This window comes from Homo sapiens, chromosome 5 (genome assembly GCF_000001405.40).
Source record: "Homo sapiens chromosome 5, GRCh38.p14 Primary Assembly".
Classification (NCBI taxonomy): Eukaryota; Metazoa; Chordata; class Mammalia; order Primates; family Hominidae; genus Homo; species Homo sapiens.
The window spans coordinates 61666616-61684098 of record NC_000005.10 but is presented as its reverse complement, the minus strand read 5'-3'; the positions used below and the strand labels follow the sequence as shown (position 1 = coordinate 61684098).

The 17483-nt window shown below is 43.3% G+C and overlaps 2 long non-coding RNA genes across 5 annotated transcripts in view, besides 1 other annotated feature; one reads left to right on the top strand and one right to left on the bottom strand.

Annotated features, from left to right (window-relative positions):
* Window positions 1–17483, bottom strand: part of LINC03122 (long intergenic non-protein coding RNA 3122) — a 93238-nt gene that overhangs the window by 46899 nt on the left and 28856 nt on the right. The gene's annotated exons all lie outside the window — the stretch shown is intronic.
* Window positions 1–17483, top strand: part of LINC03152 (long intergenic non-protein coding RNA 3152) — a 35276-nt gene that overhangs the window by 14334 nt on the left and 3459 nt on the right. The window contains exons 6-7 of the long non-coding RNA NR_109910.1: window positions 6408–6476; window positions 16222–16342. This is a non-coding gene — a long non-coding RNA (long intergenic non-protein coding RNA 3152). The remainder of the gene's footprint in view (window positions 1–6407; window positions 6477–16221; window positions 16343–17483) is intronic.
* Window positions 10638–11138: an enhancer, noted in NCBI's record as "H3K27ac hESC enhancer chr5:60968788-60969288 (GRCh37/hg19 assembly coordinates)". NCBI's record gives its function as "activates a minimal SCP1, AML or CMV promoter by ChIP-STARR-seq in naive H9 embryonic stem cells {active_cell/tissue: H9 hESC(naive)}" and the evidence as "EXISTENCE:reporter gene assay evidence [ECO:0000049][PMID:30033119]".

Below are 17483 nucleotides of genomic sequence, written 5' to 3'. Positions count from 1 at the left end.
GGATTAGGAACGGAGGGAGGGAGGGAGGGACGGAGGAAGGAAGGGAGGAAGGAAGGAAGGAAGGAAGGAAGGAAGGAAGGAAGGAAGGAAGGAAGGAAGGAAGGAAGGAAGGAAGGAAAAAATAACATGCACCAGGTAAAGAGGCTGGAAAGCAGGGTACTTCTGGACAGAAAATAATTAGGGTTTTTTTTTTAAGAATCTTATAAAATAAGTATTGCTTAACATAAGAAGTGTAGGAAAAGGAAGAAAATTAAATGAGGGATTTAGATCCATGGAGTGCAAGTGAGCTACAAATTTGGTGAAAGTTTCATTTGTTTTGAAATTTTAAAGAGAATAATTTGTAAAATTTAGAAATAAACATCGATTTGGCATCTTTGAAAAAGAAATTAAGTTTTAAAAAATGAGTAAGAAAACAAATCCAGTTGGAGAAAAGTAGTAATGGCACTGCATACTGTCATAGAAGAATGCAAATCAGTATTTTCCTTTCCCCTAATTAGCAGACATAAATCAGGATAAATTTTAAATTGATGAGAGCTCTTTCAACACAGGAGAAAGACATTGACCTTCTTGTCGTAAAGGTAAGTACGAAGTACATTAAAATCACCATTTTTTCAGTAATCAAGTTTACCTCTATGATAACTTTGGACTATGACACCCCTTCAGAAATGCTGTCTGCTCAAAATTCTCCAAACACAACACTGAATGGAATTCTGCTGTGGTAGAAGAATCATGACCGGGCAGTCAAAATCAATTTGTTCCTGTGATTGACATCAGGGCCTGTGTGTCAGCCAAGCTCTCTCATACCATCTGTGCTCTGATTATGATCAATAGGTTTTTGTGATATGCCCGGGAAATGTGCTGTTTGATTACTTTTACATGGGAGAAAAGACAAAAACGTCTCAACCTGGAGTCTACTGATGTGGATGTAGAAGCTGGTTGATGAATTATTAGAATATAGAGTTTGCACTGATAAACTTTTGAACTTTCATTGAACTTGTAGATTAAGAATAGGCAGTTTTTCCAAGAGGAAAATTCACCAGACAACCAACAATTTTTCTTTCACATATTTAAGCAAGATGTTCGATCTGGTAAGGAAATAATAGTAATTTATGTCTTTGATAATTGAGAAGGATTATAGTTCTACACACAGAAAAAGCAACCATCACCCGAGCTCTGTGAGTCACAAAGCCATTAAAGAAGAAGCTTCCAGCTTAAAAGCAGATGAAATCTCCAGATTTGGAGGGTGATGTTCTTCAAGAGAGACTTAAGAGAGGGGAAAGAAATCCCCATGTACTTGTAAAATTAGGGCCCCCTCTCTGCCTCCCTTCTGAACAAGTAAAATGACACTTCAAAGGTTCAGCTTGATAACCCACACTAAAAGAAAAGCATGCATACACAAAACCATTTCCCTTAGTGCACATAGCTCCCCTGCATATACCACCAGGCCCACACAAGCACAGACCCACACTGACCTTCAGTGGGAGGCAACCCTCCAAATAGTAGCAATGAAGCTGCCTCCTTCAACCTGCAGAGACCCATAATTCTCAAAACGTCATTTGTCTGGTAATCTGTAGGAACAGCCTGGAGCAGATTAAAGGTTAAGAAGGAAGATTGCTGACCAGCTGGAAACATGTGTTTGGTACATCCAACTAACTATAAGAAATTATTTTCCTGATAAAATAGCATCAGCTGAGATCAGGTTTCTGAGAGATGGGTATTATTAATTTTGCTGCTATGACATCGAACAGCTTGCATTAAAAATACACGCTAGATTGTGGCTCTTTGGCTTGATTGGTACAATGCACCAGAGATTTCAAAAAAACGCTGACCACTCCACAGTTCAGTTGGCCTTATTAATGATAAATCCTATCACCTCCCTTTACTTTAATGCTTTGCTTCCCTAGAATTCAATTTGAATCAATCCTATGATTATTTCTAAGCATGCACCTTGCTAGTGCTCAAAAAATGAGAGGACACAATCTTATTACTATTTGTTAGTAGCTGGGGTTTATAGCATCACAGGTGTTATAATGTAAGCCTGGGAAACAGTCAACAAGAATGAGGACCACAGTCTCAAAGAGAAGGCCAGGGATGGAGCCAGCTCCACCTGGGGATCTAAACTAGGGTATCTTGGCTGCCAGTAATGGACATTTATGTAATTTTTCTCAAGTAATGGGGATTAGAAGATGTTATTATAAGAACCTATGACCTGGTAGAGAAAAGTCATCATGAACTTGGACAGATCTGCGAACCCATTTTTCTCTCCATCTCCTCTGTCTTTCTCTCATGGCATGTCTACCATGTCCACATGTTTGCTCCATCCTCCTGTCTTTACCAACTTGGCTACTCAAAGTTTCTGTTTCCTCATAACTGTAGTTTGCACATAACCTCTCATGACCTTGACTCTGTCTCCTGGTGTTTAGTGTTAGTAATCGCTGCTTTATTTAAATCTAAAATGGAGAGAAAATTTTATTGTCACTACTCACATTTCATGTGACCACATTCTGGGTTACTGGGTGGCCTCTAGCTGAACTGCTCTAATGTTGATTATCCAACATGGACCAACTCCCTATGGCCAAAAGGACCAAGTCAAGAGGTATAATAAAACTACCCTTTCATCAGGGGGAAGTTCAGTTTATAAAGGGCAGAGTAGGCATTCTGAAGATCAGTCTGCCTTGTCCATGGGATAATGGGGAAAGGTTCTGTGGATGAGATAACATTTGAGATGATCATAAAAGGGTCCCATGTGTAGATAGGCAAAGATGATGTAAAAGTGGATATAGTAGCATAGGGAAAAACCAGAAATAGGAAAGAAAATATTTGTTAAGTATTTTAGTTTGGCTAGAGCACTTCTCAAGCTTTCTGTGCATATGAATCACCTGGGGATCTTGATAAAATGCAGATTCCTATCCAATGGGTCTAAGATGGGACCTGGGATTCTGCAACTTTAAACTAGTTCCCGGGTGATGCTGATGTGCTGCTTCACTCTGAGAAGTACAGCTAGAAGAAAGAGCCTTGAATGCCAAGCTAAGAAAGTGCTACTTACTCTACTTCAGTAAGTAATGAGAAGCCTTGAAGGATTTGGGAGAGAAGGATGATATAATCAGAGTGGTGTTAAAGGACAATTGATTTGGCAGTGCTTTGTGGGATAACTCAGAAGAGAACTGGAAGATCAGCTATTTAGCAATTGTAAAGGCCAGAAAAGGTAATAAGGACTAAATCAGTATGATCACAGTGGAGGGGAAGAAGGGCTATACAAAATCAGCTATACAGCCAATTGAACATGCCCTTCCCACTGTCCTTACCCAGTCTTGCTTTAGTTGACAAGAGAAGCAGCTTCTTCAGGCATCATCTGGTGACATCTTTGTCCTTTCTGGGGTGTCTGCTTTTCATTTCAAATCACATCTAAAGATACATCCTCTCTTTTACCTCTAACCCTTAATTTCATTCTCTCTGCCTAACTGCATTTTCTATTGTGTGCAACTTGCTGCATGATTTAACTATATTATAACCATGTAACTATGTTATTGCACTGTTATTTCATTGTGTACCAGTAACCAAATTCAGTAACTATATTTGTTCTGCTGAGGAGTTTTGTAGGAAGCATATCTGAAGGGCACCAGGCAATGAAGTAAAGTCTATTACCACCTTATCACCATCAGGAAAATGATCTGTTTGTTTGCCGTTCACTGAAGTACATAGCTAAAGAAATTGAAAGAGAGTTTAGGCAGTGTCTGAGTGAAGTCCAGATATGGAGACAGACGGATACCCTGAATACTAGGCTGTGGTTCAAGATCCAAAAAATGGCTATGACACTGTGCAGAAGAGAAGTTTCCAAATGATGTTATAGACAGGGAAGAAGAGCTTGGAGAGACAGACCTTATACTGTAATTCAGAGCTTCTGTTACTACCTGGCTTACACTGTCCCTACTATCCATTTAAAGCCAAGCCAAAGATAAGCTTGCTGTTAAATACAAATCCCAACTGAAATTTTCCTAAGGCCAAAGGCTTCATCATATCCCGTGATTATGGATATAAATGAAGAAACCTGGTGCTTGCCTATTGGATTGTTCATGCCATTTTGAGGTCAACCCCTGAATGCTGAACTTTGGTTTTCTAAGGCCCCTGTGCATTAAATAATCTATACAACAAGCAGGACTTTAAATCCAATCCTTTTCTTCCTAATAGGATGGGATTTTGTGCACATGTATATACTAATAGCTAAAAAATCAAACAGTTGTCACTGATCAAAACAACAATAATTTGTCCTGTGGGGAAAAAAAGAGTGTGAGAGAGAGAAAGAATAGAAAAGAAAGAAAGAAAAAGGAACTGTCCAGCCCTGGAGACTAGAGCTATTTTGATCGCACAAGAACATAATCAGAGTCAGGAACACAGTGGAGGAAATATTCCCAAAGGAAATCAAGATTAAGATGCACACTTCGGCCTCTTCCTACAAGCACCAACCTCCCAAGCCCACAGGTCATTTTGTTTGACAATGTCACATCGATTTACATTTCACAATGCACTTTTAACTTTAGAATGTTAATGTGCTGGCTGGAATTAGCTGTATCTTTAGAGAAGAGTCTGATCTTGACCATGTTCTCCTTTAGAGAGACTTCCTAGTTGGTTTGTTATTTTGGTAAATGAGAACCCAGGAAGAAATTAAATCAATTTTATAGATACGTGTGTGTGTGTGTGTGTGTGTGTGTGATGAAAGTGTCCCTGCAGGACAGACACTGGGAAACTGTGCTTTGAAGAGAACAAAGCCTTTCGGGAAAAGGGTTCCATGTTCAAAAGAAAATGAGGAAATATGACTTCTAGCCCAGATATTGCCAGGCCCACTTCCATCCTTGGTTTTGCTCCATGTTGGAGCTCAGGATTCTGGATGTATTTCCTCTGAGTGCCCTGTTGGTGGCGGAGGGCAGGGTGGGGTAGAGCAAGGCATAGCCTTCCATGCGGGGAATCTGTGCTGTCTCAGGGCTTTCCTCCAGAGGCAGTCCAGAGAGAGATATGCCAGCGTCATAAACCCTGCTTCCTCCTTCCTTCTGTGCCACCCATTTTCCTAGTCCCACTACTTCACAAGTAAATAACCATCTTCATTGGAAGTAACCTTCTTCCCTAGAGAGGTGAAGTGACTGGTCTATGGTCACACAGCTATTAAGAGCCTCTGACAGAAAGAAATCCAGCCTCTTCAGTTTCAGGTCATTGCATGTTCTTTCCTCCTACCTTGTAAGCAGCTTCAGTCTTTGATGTGGGCCCTGTGTCCTGGGCCACAGGACAGACTTAGGGCTCAAACCTCCCTGGGCCTCACCTGGCACTTCCCTGCCAAGGTTGCATCCTGCCTCTCTCTGAAGAGTCACCCTCTAGCCTAGTCATTGTGGAACCTACTCCTCAGTCCCAACATCACCACAAACACCCACTGTCCCTACAAGGGACAGGAGGGCTGAGATTTAGGGACCCAAGTTTAGATGCAAATTAGAATCTTTTTAATGTTATGAGAATGATGGTGAAAAATCCTGAGGACAAGAGTTATATTTAGTCTGCAAATATGTATTGAGAAGAATCCCCCAAAAAGTTACTATTAAAGAATAATGATAAAGATTCATGCACTTTAGTTGGGGGCAGAGTTTAGGGGTGGCATTATGAAAAGCTGTGGGAGTTTTGAAGCAGCCTTTACTCAAGAGATGGTTGTGTGCTGAGGGAGAGAAGATTTGGAGCTATTACTCACAATGCACCAGCAGAAGATTCCAAGTTGGAGAGCCTAGGCAGAGAAGTTCCATGGGGTGTGGGAAGGTGGGGGTATGGTAAGAGGCAGCATAAGAATGGCTGAGCTGAGGCTGGGCATGGTGGCTCATGCTTGTTATGCCCAGCACTTTAGGAGACCAAGGCAGGTAGATTGCTTGAGCTCAGAAGTTTGAGAACAGCCTAGGCAATATGATGAAACACCGTCTCTACAAAAAATACAAAAAAAAATAGCCAGATGTGGTGGTATGCACCTGTGGTGCCAGCTACTTGGGAGGCTGAGGTGGGAGGATCGCTTGAGCCTGGGAGGTCAAGGCTGCAGTGAGCTGAGATTGCACCACTGCACTCCAGCCTGGGCAACAGAGTGAGACCCTGTCAAAAAAAAGAAAAGAAAAGAAAAGAAAAGAATAGCTGGGCTGGACACACTTCACTACAGAGACAGTCATTCTCTCCAGAAGCCAGCATGAGGCAGAACCTGGCTGCCAGACAGGGGAGGTTCTTCCCCATCTAGAGACCAAAAGGTCAAGTGTAGAAACTCGGTTGGGTAGATGTGAAGGATGCTGTAGGCCAGCTGGCTCAGCCTCCATTCCTAACTTCCTCAGGGAACCAGTCTATACTGTAGACACCAGAAAATGAAAAACTAATTTTCTCTTCCTCCTTTGCAGGTAGGGTTCCTGATGGGATTGGGTTCCACCAATCAGAGCCACTTGCATGAGACCTCAACTGAGAGCCAGGTCAGTGGGATGGGAGGCACAGCACGAGGCCTTTACTTTGCTAGCTCAGATCATGGCAGAATGGTGGGCTCTGCCACGGACAGTGGGGGATGCAGTTTCCCTCAATCATATCAGAGCATCATCTGGGGAACTGGAATTGTTTCTGAAAGCTCAAACCAGAATCTGCTTGTTCAGCACTTCCAAAATGTTCATAGGCCAATTAATACCTGATTATTAATGCTCTCCTGTTTCAATAAACTGGAACAATTTCTGTCATCTGCATCACCATGGACAGTGGCCAAGATAACATATCTGACTCCCCAAACTGATCATTTTTTAGTACCCTCCTCTATGGGACAAAATTATTTTCAGTGAGAATCATGTAATAATCATTAATTATTATTACTCTCATGATTCATTCATTAGCTTTAAAACAATAATTTAAACAGAATAAATTTTAATTTTCAAGATATTATTCAAATCCAGTCAAATATCTCGTGTATGAACTAAAATTTGCATTTCCTAAACTTTAAACACAAATTAAAATTCCAAGTGGTTGTGCAGAATGACAGAATTAAATTAACTCAGGTTTTGTGTCTTGGCTTTGCAATTACTGTGCTATCATCCTTTATCGATTATTTAAATGCAGGCATACTTAGTACAACAGGGGCTGGAGACACAAACTGTGCCTGAAGCCAGTTCGAACCATCTTGAACTGTTCTTTCTTACTGGAAGTTCTCCTAAGTAACTTTCACATAGACTATAATATTAGTAAAAGGATAAGTAATTAACTATGCTAATTTGAAGCATATATATGTATGTGTGTATATATATGGGTATATATGTATACACACACACATACACACAGATGTATATGAGTGTATAGAATTAAAATTCAATAGTCACCACAGCAATTGTTTAGAAAATGGACAAACAAAAGATTTGTGGGAGGATTATTTTATCACTGACATTGTTTAGAATTACTGGCCTAGGGATAAGAAAAAGCAAACTGACTCACAGTCGATTTTATTATTGGTTTTAAATTATCTGCAGACAATGCAGCTGTGTGCATCTTGAGGGTGGGTGCACCCGCCCCTGGTTGGCAGGTGGGGCTGAGCCTGAAAAAGCCTGATCCCAAGCCTGAGGGCTCCAGAGGGTTGGGGACTTGAGGGGAAGTGGCATGGCGAGGGGGGATTCCCAGACCCCAGCACCCTCCCCACCAGATACCTCCTGCATACCAGGAGACCCAGCCTGAGCCGCTCATGACTCCCCAGATTCTCAAATACTGCTGAAACATAAAGATCCCCCACAAACTGCCTTTGGTGGTGAGGAACCAAGAGCCCAAAACTGCTGAAACCCTGGTACCCAGTTCTCAGTAGTGAAGAGACCCACCCACCCCATGTGATGGAAATGTGTGCCTCAGCACAATTAAACCTCGTCTCCTGCCACGGGCCCTTGAGGGCACACACAAGTTGTTGAATTTATGAATGTTAACTCTGCCAATGCCGAAATTCCACTTTAACCTATACCTGGAATGCCTTCGTTCGCTGGCAGGTGAGCTGCACCTCAGGTGTCTGCAGGGGACAGGGTGAGTGAAAGCCCCACAGAGCTCTCAGCCTGAGAAGGCCCTGAGCCAGGGCACTGCCTTTAATGAGAGAAGTTTCTCTTTTCCCCTCCAAGTGGTGGCCGCACCGAGAGACATCTAAAGTTCTCTGAGAGCAGAGACGGAGTTTATTTCCGGTGTCCTTCGCGGTCCCCAGCAGTACAACTCTCATAAAAGGTTAACTTCCTAGTTCTGGGGAGAGTAAAGCTTGTCTTTTCTCCACTAGTTGAGGGACCTTTAGCATAAAGGTCCAGCCTCACAGAAGATGACTAAACACACAAGCCAATTTTAATGCTGTGTCCTGAGACCCCAAGGGAGTCCAGGGGAGACCATCTCCCTAGACAAAGGAAAGAGGCACCTCCCCACCCCAGGGGGGACACTGTGGACAAGATGCAGGTGCACAGTGCCAGATATCCAAGGACCCTTGGAAGGCTGTGACCTTTCTCCTCTGAGCAGTAGTAGTAAGCCAGATGTCCACTAGCAGGTCCCAGAGATGCGGCCACAGCAGTAAAGCTGCATGACAGTCTACTTGCCTGGCACTGCCCAGGAGAGTGCCACTAGCCCCCATCCTGTAGGACCAGTGGGTGCTGTCCTCCTCTACGCAGAGTGGCCAGGGAGGAGGGGCAGGGCCATCTAGCCATGTGGTTCATGCCTAGGTGTCTGGGAGCAGGAAGACATGCATTTCCAATCTAGCATTGGCACCCAAACTCACATTGCTGTATTCCTGTCAAGCAGTGTTAGCCAGCCTCATATCTAAGGACTACAGGCTTTAATTACTCCAGGGAACAGCCTGGTGGCCAGACAAAGAAAGGCTTGTTACAAAGGCCCCTTTGTTGAAAGGGCTTTTGTCCCAGCAAGAGGATTGCTCCAGGCACCCCTTATAGGCCACCAGCCCAGAGCAGGGAAGTAATACTTGTCCAACTAACCCTCGGGTGTTTCAGAAGACCTGGACTCAAGTCCCCGCAGCCCAGGTTTGCTGGCAACATAGTCCGCTGTAAGTCACACATCCTTTTTAAGCCCCAGTTTTCTTACCTATCAAAAAGCAATCATCAATGTGAATTTCACCCTCTTTTCTCCAGTCCTGGAGGCTGAGTCCCCCAGGCTGCTGGAGGTGCTGAGAATACCTGGACCCTACTAGCAATGCAGAGAAGTGTTTACACCCCTCTCTGGCAGGTGATGTTCGATGTGTCTTTAACCGTGTCCCTACCCTCTGTCATCCCACACACAACAAACACATATATAAGAAGAAAAGGAACGTGTTTGTAGTGGATATTTCTCCTCTTTCCTACTGAGGGTCCAAGCAGCCTCCCTAAGTTGAGGTGAGGGGCAGCAGCCACTTCCTCTCTGGAGAGCCAGGAAGGACACCTCCTCTCACTCCCTGGAAACAGAACAGCAGGCTGCTGACCTTCACCCGGCCACCAGTGCTCCACCCTGAACTCAAGATTCCAGGATGCAAGACGGAGGCTTCAGGAGGAGAGAGATTTCTCCTTGGAAAGCTGGAAGAGCTGAAAGGAGAGTAGGAGGTAGTGAGGAGGGGCCTGCAGCAGGTCTCAGGGACTCTACAGGGCGTGGACCTGTGCTGTACTTTTGCCCCCTGACCCTCGTTCCTGATGCTTTTCTGAGCTTGGTTCTCCAGCCTTCTGATAATTCCATAGGCTGCTGGATAGATAGCCTTCCAACAAATTCCCTTTCTGCCTAAGTTAACCAGATTTGGGGTCTGTTGTTTGTAACCAAGAGTCCTACCTGATACTGTGTAAGATATAGCCAGAGAGGAAATTACCCCAAAAATCTATTTTTTAAAATCTGCCTGCACAAATATACTAACCACAGCATTATTTAAAACTGTGCAGATGGAAACCACTGGACAGTAGTGACATGGTTAAGTGGAGTCTGAGCCATTCACTCGGAAAAACAAGCAATCATCAGAATAATGGGTATGAAGACAATGCAATGACAAGGGAAGTGCTGCTGAGATTGACTGACAAATGACAACAGGAAAAGAAACTGAATGCAAGATGTGCCCCTCTTCCCCTACCAAGAATAGAAGCTCCTAGGAGCTAGACTTTTGATCTATTTTGTTCAGGGTCCTATCTCCAGCAAGTGGCAATGGTAGGCACTCAACTGACACTTAGAGAATGAATGAATGAATGAACTATTTGCACAGGGGAGGGGTGGGTAAAAACACCTTCAAATGCTATTAGTGATTATTACAGGTTACTCAGATTTTTTAAAGCTGTTGTTCCCTTTCCTCTATTTCTAGCATTTTCCATCATGTGGTTTTATTCATTTTCCTGAGAAGAAAAAAATGTTTTCTTAGCCCAAACCACTGGTAGGTGACCCAACTTCCCTAATATTTATGTTCCCTCTTGAGAGGCCTAAGCTGCAACTAAGCAGGGTGGCAAGGGCAAAGGAACATTTGCTCTCCTTTCCAAGTAGAAATGCTCAGCTGAAGCAGTCATTAAGGAGCCTGGCTCTGCTGCCCAAGGAAACACTTCCTTCCCATGGGCGGCGAGCGCCGAGTGACCTTCACAGCCCCTGGGCTGGATCTTGGAGCAGGAGAGTCTGTCTGGGGCAATAAAGCATCGCCAGGTGTCCAGGCCAAGTCAAAGGCCTTCCTGCCCTCCCCTGTTCCCCTCCGGTTGTCATCTCTTGCTTCCTCACCCGGGCTTTGTCACCAGTCCATGCACACTGCAGGGTCTGAACAATGGCAGACTCAATAGCCAGAGGGAGTTCAAAGGGGTTGATCGCCCCTTCAGATTGGCATTCAGCAGAAGCAGCCACTAGCTTAGCAAGTGGGATCCTGTTCCACCTCAGAGTGACTAAGCAGGGAAGTGGAGGAGTCAGCACTCCACAGAAGCCAGGAGGTTGGCTTCAGGCTGGCCATGAATTCTCACAGCAGGAAAGGGCAAAAGGAGATCAACCAGCCAGATGAGCTATGAGGAAATGAAATCTGCTGCAGATCGCTGGGCAGGGCCAGCTGTACACACCTGCTAAGATTACCATTTTATGACCACCACTGGCTTGCACTCACTATGATATTCTCTCTCTCTCTCTCTCTCTCTCTCACACACACACACACACACACACACGCAAGCATTTTCAGCATGAAAGAATGAGAATAAAATCATGCAAAGGAAAATGCCGAACACAGAGAAAAGACACACGTAAATGTACACACTTGCAAAGGCTCTGATTCACTAACTTCATGCCCCTTTTTTACCTGCCCATATCAAAACATGCTTCATCCTGGTTGGATCCAACAAAAGACCACAAGCCCCAGGTTCCAAGGCACATCCTGCAGGCATTTTTTTCCATTTTATCCATAGTGCTGCAGTGTTTAGTGGGTTGCTTACAGTTCAGGACCACCTGGGAGGAAGCCCCACTCTACATTCTGGGTCCCAGCTCTGCCAAGTCTCTTCTCCAAATTCCAAGGGTACAAAACCAGTTGGGCAGTGTCCCCTCTTAAGAGCTCTGAGTCCCAGCTCTATGTGATCCCTCCTCAAGCTGCTGAGAGTCCGCATCAGCCTGGGAACACCCTCCACCAGAGACCTGTGTTCCAGCTTTGCTGGGCCCTTCCCCTAAGCATCTAGGTTCTATTAACCCCAGTCTCTTGCTTTGTTTCCTCAGCCCTTGGGGTGGTAGCTGCTCCCTGCAGTTACCGTCACTGAGATGCCTCAAGGTTCCTTTTTTGCCTTTTCAGTCCTAATACTAGCCTAATAATCCCCTTTATTAAATTATCTCTGTTAAAATAACTATGGTGATCAACTCCTTACTTAAATAATGTTTACATGATCAAAAGACTTTCTGTAGTAGTATTAACAGTTTTGGTTTCCTTGGTTATTTTAACTTTATTCAATTTAAATTCATTGAATTTTTTCCAATTATGCTTTCATTTTACAGTCATTAAAAAACAAAAAAAAAAAAAACTGGCCAGGCATGGTGGCTAACACCTGTAATCCTAGCACTTTGGGAGGCCAAGGCGGGTGGATCACTTGAGGTCAGGAGTTTGAAACCAGCCTGGCCAACATGGTGAAACCCTTTCTCTACTAAAAATCCAAAAATTTAGCTGGGCGTGGTGGTGGCTGCCTGTAATCCCAGCTACTTGGGAGGCTGAGGCAGGAGAATTGCTTGAACTCAGAAGGCAGAGGTTGCAGTGAGCCAAGATTGTGCCACTGCACTCCAACCTGGGCAACAAAGCAAGTCTCCATATCAAAAATAAAATAAAATAAAATAAAATAATAAAAAAAGATGGTGCTTTCCTGATTGGACTTTTACTGATACAGGAGAAAAGCTAGTAGGAAAAAATTAAACCTGCTAGTGAAGACAGGTTTCTGGGTGCTTTGATGGAGTGATCCATCTCCTCGTCACCAGGGATGGGAAGAAGAGCTTTACATCTGTTATGTTTAAATGATATTCCTCAAGGAACAGTGTTCAAGAGCTACTTGATGGTTACCATCCAGTAAGCTGTTCAAGTTATTGACCATTTCTTACTTAGATTCTGAGAAGTTTTAGATACAGTTAAACAGTGGAGGAATATATGGCCTTTAAATAGCCAGGGGTTCCAGAAGAAAATAAATAAATTCTGAAGAAACAGGGTCTAAGTAGGGAAAAGAATACCCAACTGGAAAGAGAATGCTGTAGAATAAATATACAGAAGGAGTTAAGCAATTTAACTATTCAAAAAGACCAAAGGGAGGCCACCACACTACAAGTTTGTGCGGGGGTGGGGGGGGCAGCGACTATTAAAATCACAGGTGGTTGCAATAACCACACATACATTCAGTGCTGAATTTCCAATCCCTATCTCCTTACTTTGGGAGCAATTAGTCTCGGGTGAAAAATTGCACTTGTAGCTAATTGCACCTGCAATTACCTACTTCCGGGTGCAATTAGCCACTTGAACCTAATTCTGAGTGTGCAAGTGTTTAATTGCATATGTGAGGAGGTGATTCCAGACACAGTTAGTTGTGCCCTCAGTCTTTGCACCTGCAACTAATTGTGACTAATAAAACAAGTCTTCATACAAGTCAGGTTGAAGGTACATATGGTGAACCTGTTTGGGGAACCAAGAATTGGATTGGTTGGGCTAATAGAAGTACAAGTGCACTAAAGAGAATAAAGGGACAAATTATTTAGAAACTGTCATTCTTTGGATCTACGGTTACATTATCCATGTCCTTTCCTGCAATCATGCTCTTCCCAGACTACAGAACATAAAGTCAGCTGATTAAAGGCAAGAATCATGCCTTGGCTGACACAGTTCTTTGTAAAGATAGCAGTAATTCTTCTGCTGACATTGAGGAACATCCATAAAGTGCAGGTCAGAACTATGTTCCAGCCAGTTCTCCATTATTTGTGTTAATTCTGATGAGGTTATTCAAAACACTGGGCAACAGGTATTTATTGAACTAAGTCATATCATGAATCTAGAAATTAACAGACATGGCTCCTGCCTTCAATTTCATGACAGTTCTACAAATAATTATTAAGTGTCTACTGTCTGCTTGGCAAGTCGAGGTACTCATTTACTTATTAGGAACATTCCTTTGTTCTGTCTTTCTACAAATGCCTATTGATATGGTTTGGTTATTTGCCCCCTCCAAATCTCAAGTTGAAATGTGATTCCCAGTGTAAGAGGTTGGGCCTGGTGGGAGGTGATTGGATCATGATGGCAGATCTCTCATTAATAGTTTAGCACTATCCCTTTGGGGATAAGTGAGTTCTCACTCAAGTTAGTTCATGAGGGACCCGGTTGTTTAAAACTCTGGGACCTCCCCCTTTTCTCTCTCTTGTTTCTGCTCTCACCATGTGACATGCTGGCTTCTCGTTGCCTTTTGCCATGATTGTAAGCTTCCTGAAGCCTCACCAGAGACAGATGTTGCAACCATGCTTGTATAGCCTGCAGAATTGTGAGCCAATTAAACCTCTTTTCTTTACCCAGCCTTGGGTATTTCTTTACAGCAATGCAGAAACAGCCTAATATACCAATTTATCAAGCCTTCTTGGAACTCACATTCAAGTAGGAAAGATAGACGCTAAACAACTGTTTATACAATTAATGTCTTCATTACAGGGGCTGGGAGAGTGCACAACTAGGGCCTGCCCTGGTAAGAGTTTATGATAGGGTGTTCTGAAGAATTGACGCTTGAGTCAAGATTTTAAAAATCACTAGGGGCTACTCAGAAAGGAGAGGGAGAGCAGGCTCTGGGCAGGGAGAATGAAAATGCCAAGGCTCTGAGGCTGAATGGAACTTCCCAGACTGAGAATAGAAAGAAGGCCAGCGTGGCTGGAGTGGAGTAAGGGGGAGAAGTGGTTGAAGGTTATGTGATGAGTGGGAGGAGTTTCCTCTAGGTTGCCAAAAATGTGCCTCATGAAAGAACCCTGCTGGAATGAAGGGCATCACAGGGCCTCTCAACCACAGCCAAGGCAGAATCTTGATGTGAGATGTTGTTTTTCGTCCCTCTTCCTCTAATCTCACCAATACCAGCCTGGATCCTGGAAGAGCCAGAAGAGAGATGAGGTAGAGAGAGAATAAAATTGCCAATCAACCCCTCCTTCCCAACTGCATGAGCCTGAGCTTCAGCCGATATCACTAACTTTGATATGGAGGTGAGATTGAAGTTTGACGTTAAGCTGAACTGGACCTTTAACACTGAAAAGAAATCTCATTATCAGAATTGAGGCTTTTCTAGTAGTTGGAAGTAATCCAGAAAGCCAAGGCATCTGCATGAGATGTCTCTAAAGCACAGGAAGTAGGGACCTGCCTGAGCATATCTGAAGCTAGGTAGAAGAAATGTACGGCCTCTTTGTGACTGTACCCCCCTTGAGCCAGCCTATTCCACCAGTAGTACATAGGAACAATGCACATGACCCCCCAGAGCTGAGGCTCCACAAGGCGGTGAAGTTCCACAAAGATAAGAAGGACTCATAGATTTGGATGGAGAGGAGGGACCAGGCATTGCAAGAGAAGAATGATGAGAACACAGGGGAATGAAGTCCATTCTCTATTGGATGGGAAGCCTCAAGAAGTCTGGCCTGGCTAGAGCAGATGTTCTGAGATGTGAGAAGCAGCGTTGGATAGAACATGAGCTAAAGACAGATGGAAGGAAGTCTTTAATGCCAGGCAATAGGAGTTAGGAGCCTCTTGCATCAAGCCTGGCTCTTCCTCCAGATTCTGAAGAAGCAGCAAAATAACTTGGTTTGAGCTTAAAGTGAGAGGTTCATCTTCCTGAGCTCCCTTCCAGGGCTGAAATGGTGACCTTTTCCCCAGTCTTTCTTCTCTGTGTACTGTCTAGTGGAGATGATGAGAAGTCATCACTGTGAGGACATTACCTCCCCATCCAAACCCCTTCACCAGCACTCCTGGCCAAGATGGTACATGTGCAGTGCAAGTCTTCAAGGATTTGGGGAGAGCAGTAGAATCCCTTCTTTTATGCCTTTTTCTCTTTTGGCAAAGACTGACTCCATGCTCACCAATTAGATTAGAGTCATGTCACTGGATTCTAGTCAGGCAGCCTGTACAGGGCTGGCCTTTAAAACATTCAACACAATCTTCCACTCATTCTCCCCTTCCAATTCATGAGACTGAAAGTAAAGGACCCTGCGATGGTGGAGACACGTGATGGCAAGAATCTGTATCCCTACTCAGAGAGGAGCATCAGACTGGCGTCAGACCATAACACGAGCAAGAAACATGTGCTTGGTTAAGCCACTGAGATAGGGTGTTTACTCATCACTGAAGTGCAGCCTAGTCTGTTGTAACAGATCTATCCACCTCCGACCCCAGTGTTCCCCATCCTCCGATTTCTCTCCCTTCTGTACTCTTTCTGCAGCCACCTTGGCCTCAGTCATTTCCTCACAGCACAGTATTCACAGTTGCAGCAGAGGCAGGGGAAGAAGACCCAAGAAGGGAAGACCTGGGTGCTTCTCTTCCCCTAGCATGCTATTGCACTGCCTCTCATCCTGGCTGTTCCTCTCTCTGGAATACTCTTCCTCTAGATGTTCACTCCTGGCTTCTTTTCAGCTGAAATGACTCTTTCTCAGAGAAAGTTGCTGGCACCACCCATCCACCCACAACTTCTCAACACAATACTCTTTACTGCGTTCGTAGCAGTAAATTATTCAAGAAATTATCTCATCTGTTTATTGTCTTTCTCCTTGTAGGATGTCATCTCCACCAGAACAAGGACTACGTTTTGTATGTTGCTGTTCCGTTAGTGCCAGAACATGCCCACCCCTGCTCAGTAAATAAGCGTTAAGTGAATGAATTAATAAGTGAAAGGCTGTAAGTACTTTGACCTCCAGGTTATCTAGTCTCACTCCCTTTACAGATGAGGAAATTGACTCTTTTCCCAGAAAAGAGGAAACAGAAAAGCAAAGGCAACTCTCCCATGCTAGCTGTTTCTGGAGTGCTGAACTTAGATGTGATTTATTCAAATGAAAACTCTTGGGGAATTGTTTCAGAGGGATCCGTAAAACAAATGTCATTTTTACCTAGAGAATTCACCCAACCTTCCAACCAATTTCAAATGTAGTTCTTCAATGCAGATTTAACAAATTTGAAATCTTACATAAAGCTATTTATCATCTAATGTGCGCCTGCCCTGCACCACAGTTTAAGTTACAGCTTTTTAATGTGGTAAAACATTTCAATGAAATCATCAAAATACCTTAAACCAAAACTGCTTATAAGATATTGATGAGTTTCAAGCATTGATTCCACCCCTGAAAACATCAACCTTGCTATTGGCACCATGGGCACTTCTAATAATAGCAGCCAAGGAGGTATAATGAATATCTAATGAACCATTTTGTATGTCTATGTTGCTTCTTGAATTGGAAATAAATCAATGAGCCTTACAAAATGCATATTTTAGTGATACCTCTATAAACAATAATCTTGTTTTTCTATCATGACTCGAATGTCATTCTTTTTATAATACAATTGAAGATTTAATAATTTATTATATAGATTGCCTTCCCCATTTTAGCTCTAGGTTATGTGTGTATACATAATACATATACATATAGGTCGCCTTTCCCATTTAAGCTCTAGGTTATGTGTGTATATGTATATATGTGTGTGTATATGTATATATGTGTGTATATATATGTGTGTGTGTGTGTATATATATATATATATGTACACATAACCTACAGCTTAAACGAGGAAGGCAACCTAGTCCAATGTTTGATTTTTAAAATTTTTAAAAGTCCTTGTATGTAGAAGCTCTGTGGGTCATAAAAGTAAACCAAAATGCCCACGTTCCAGGAGCAAACATAGAGGCACATAAATAGTAACTAGTAAACAAGTCATAGACGCTTCCATGAATACAATACCAGAGAAAGCCTAGATCCAGTGCTAAAGGCTGAATGAAGACCAAGAGATACGATAATCCTGCTTTACAGGCACTATAGCTGAGCCC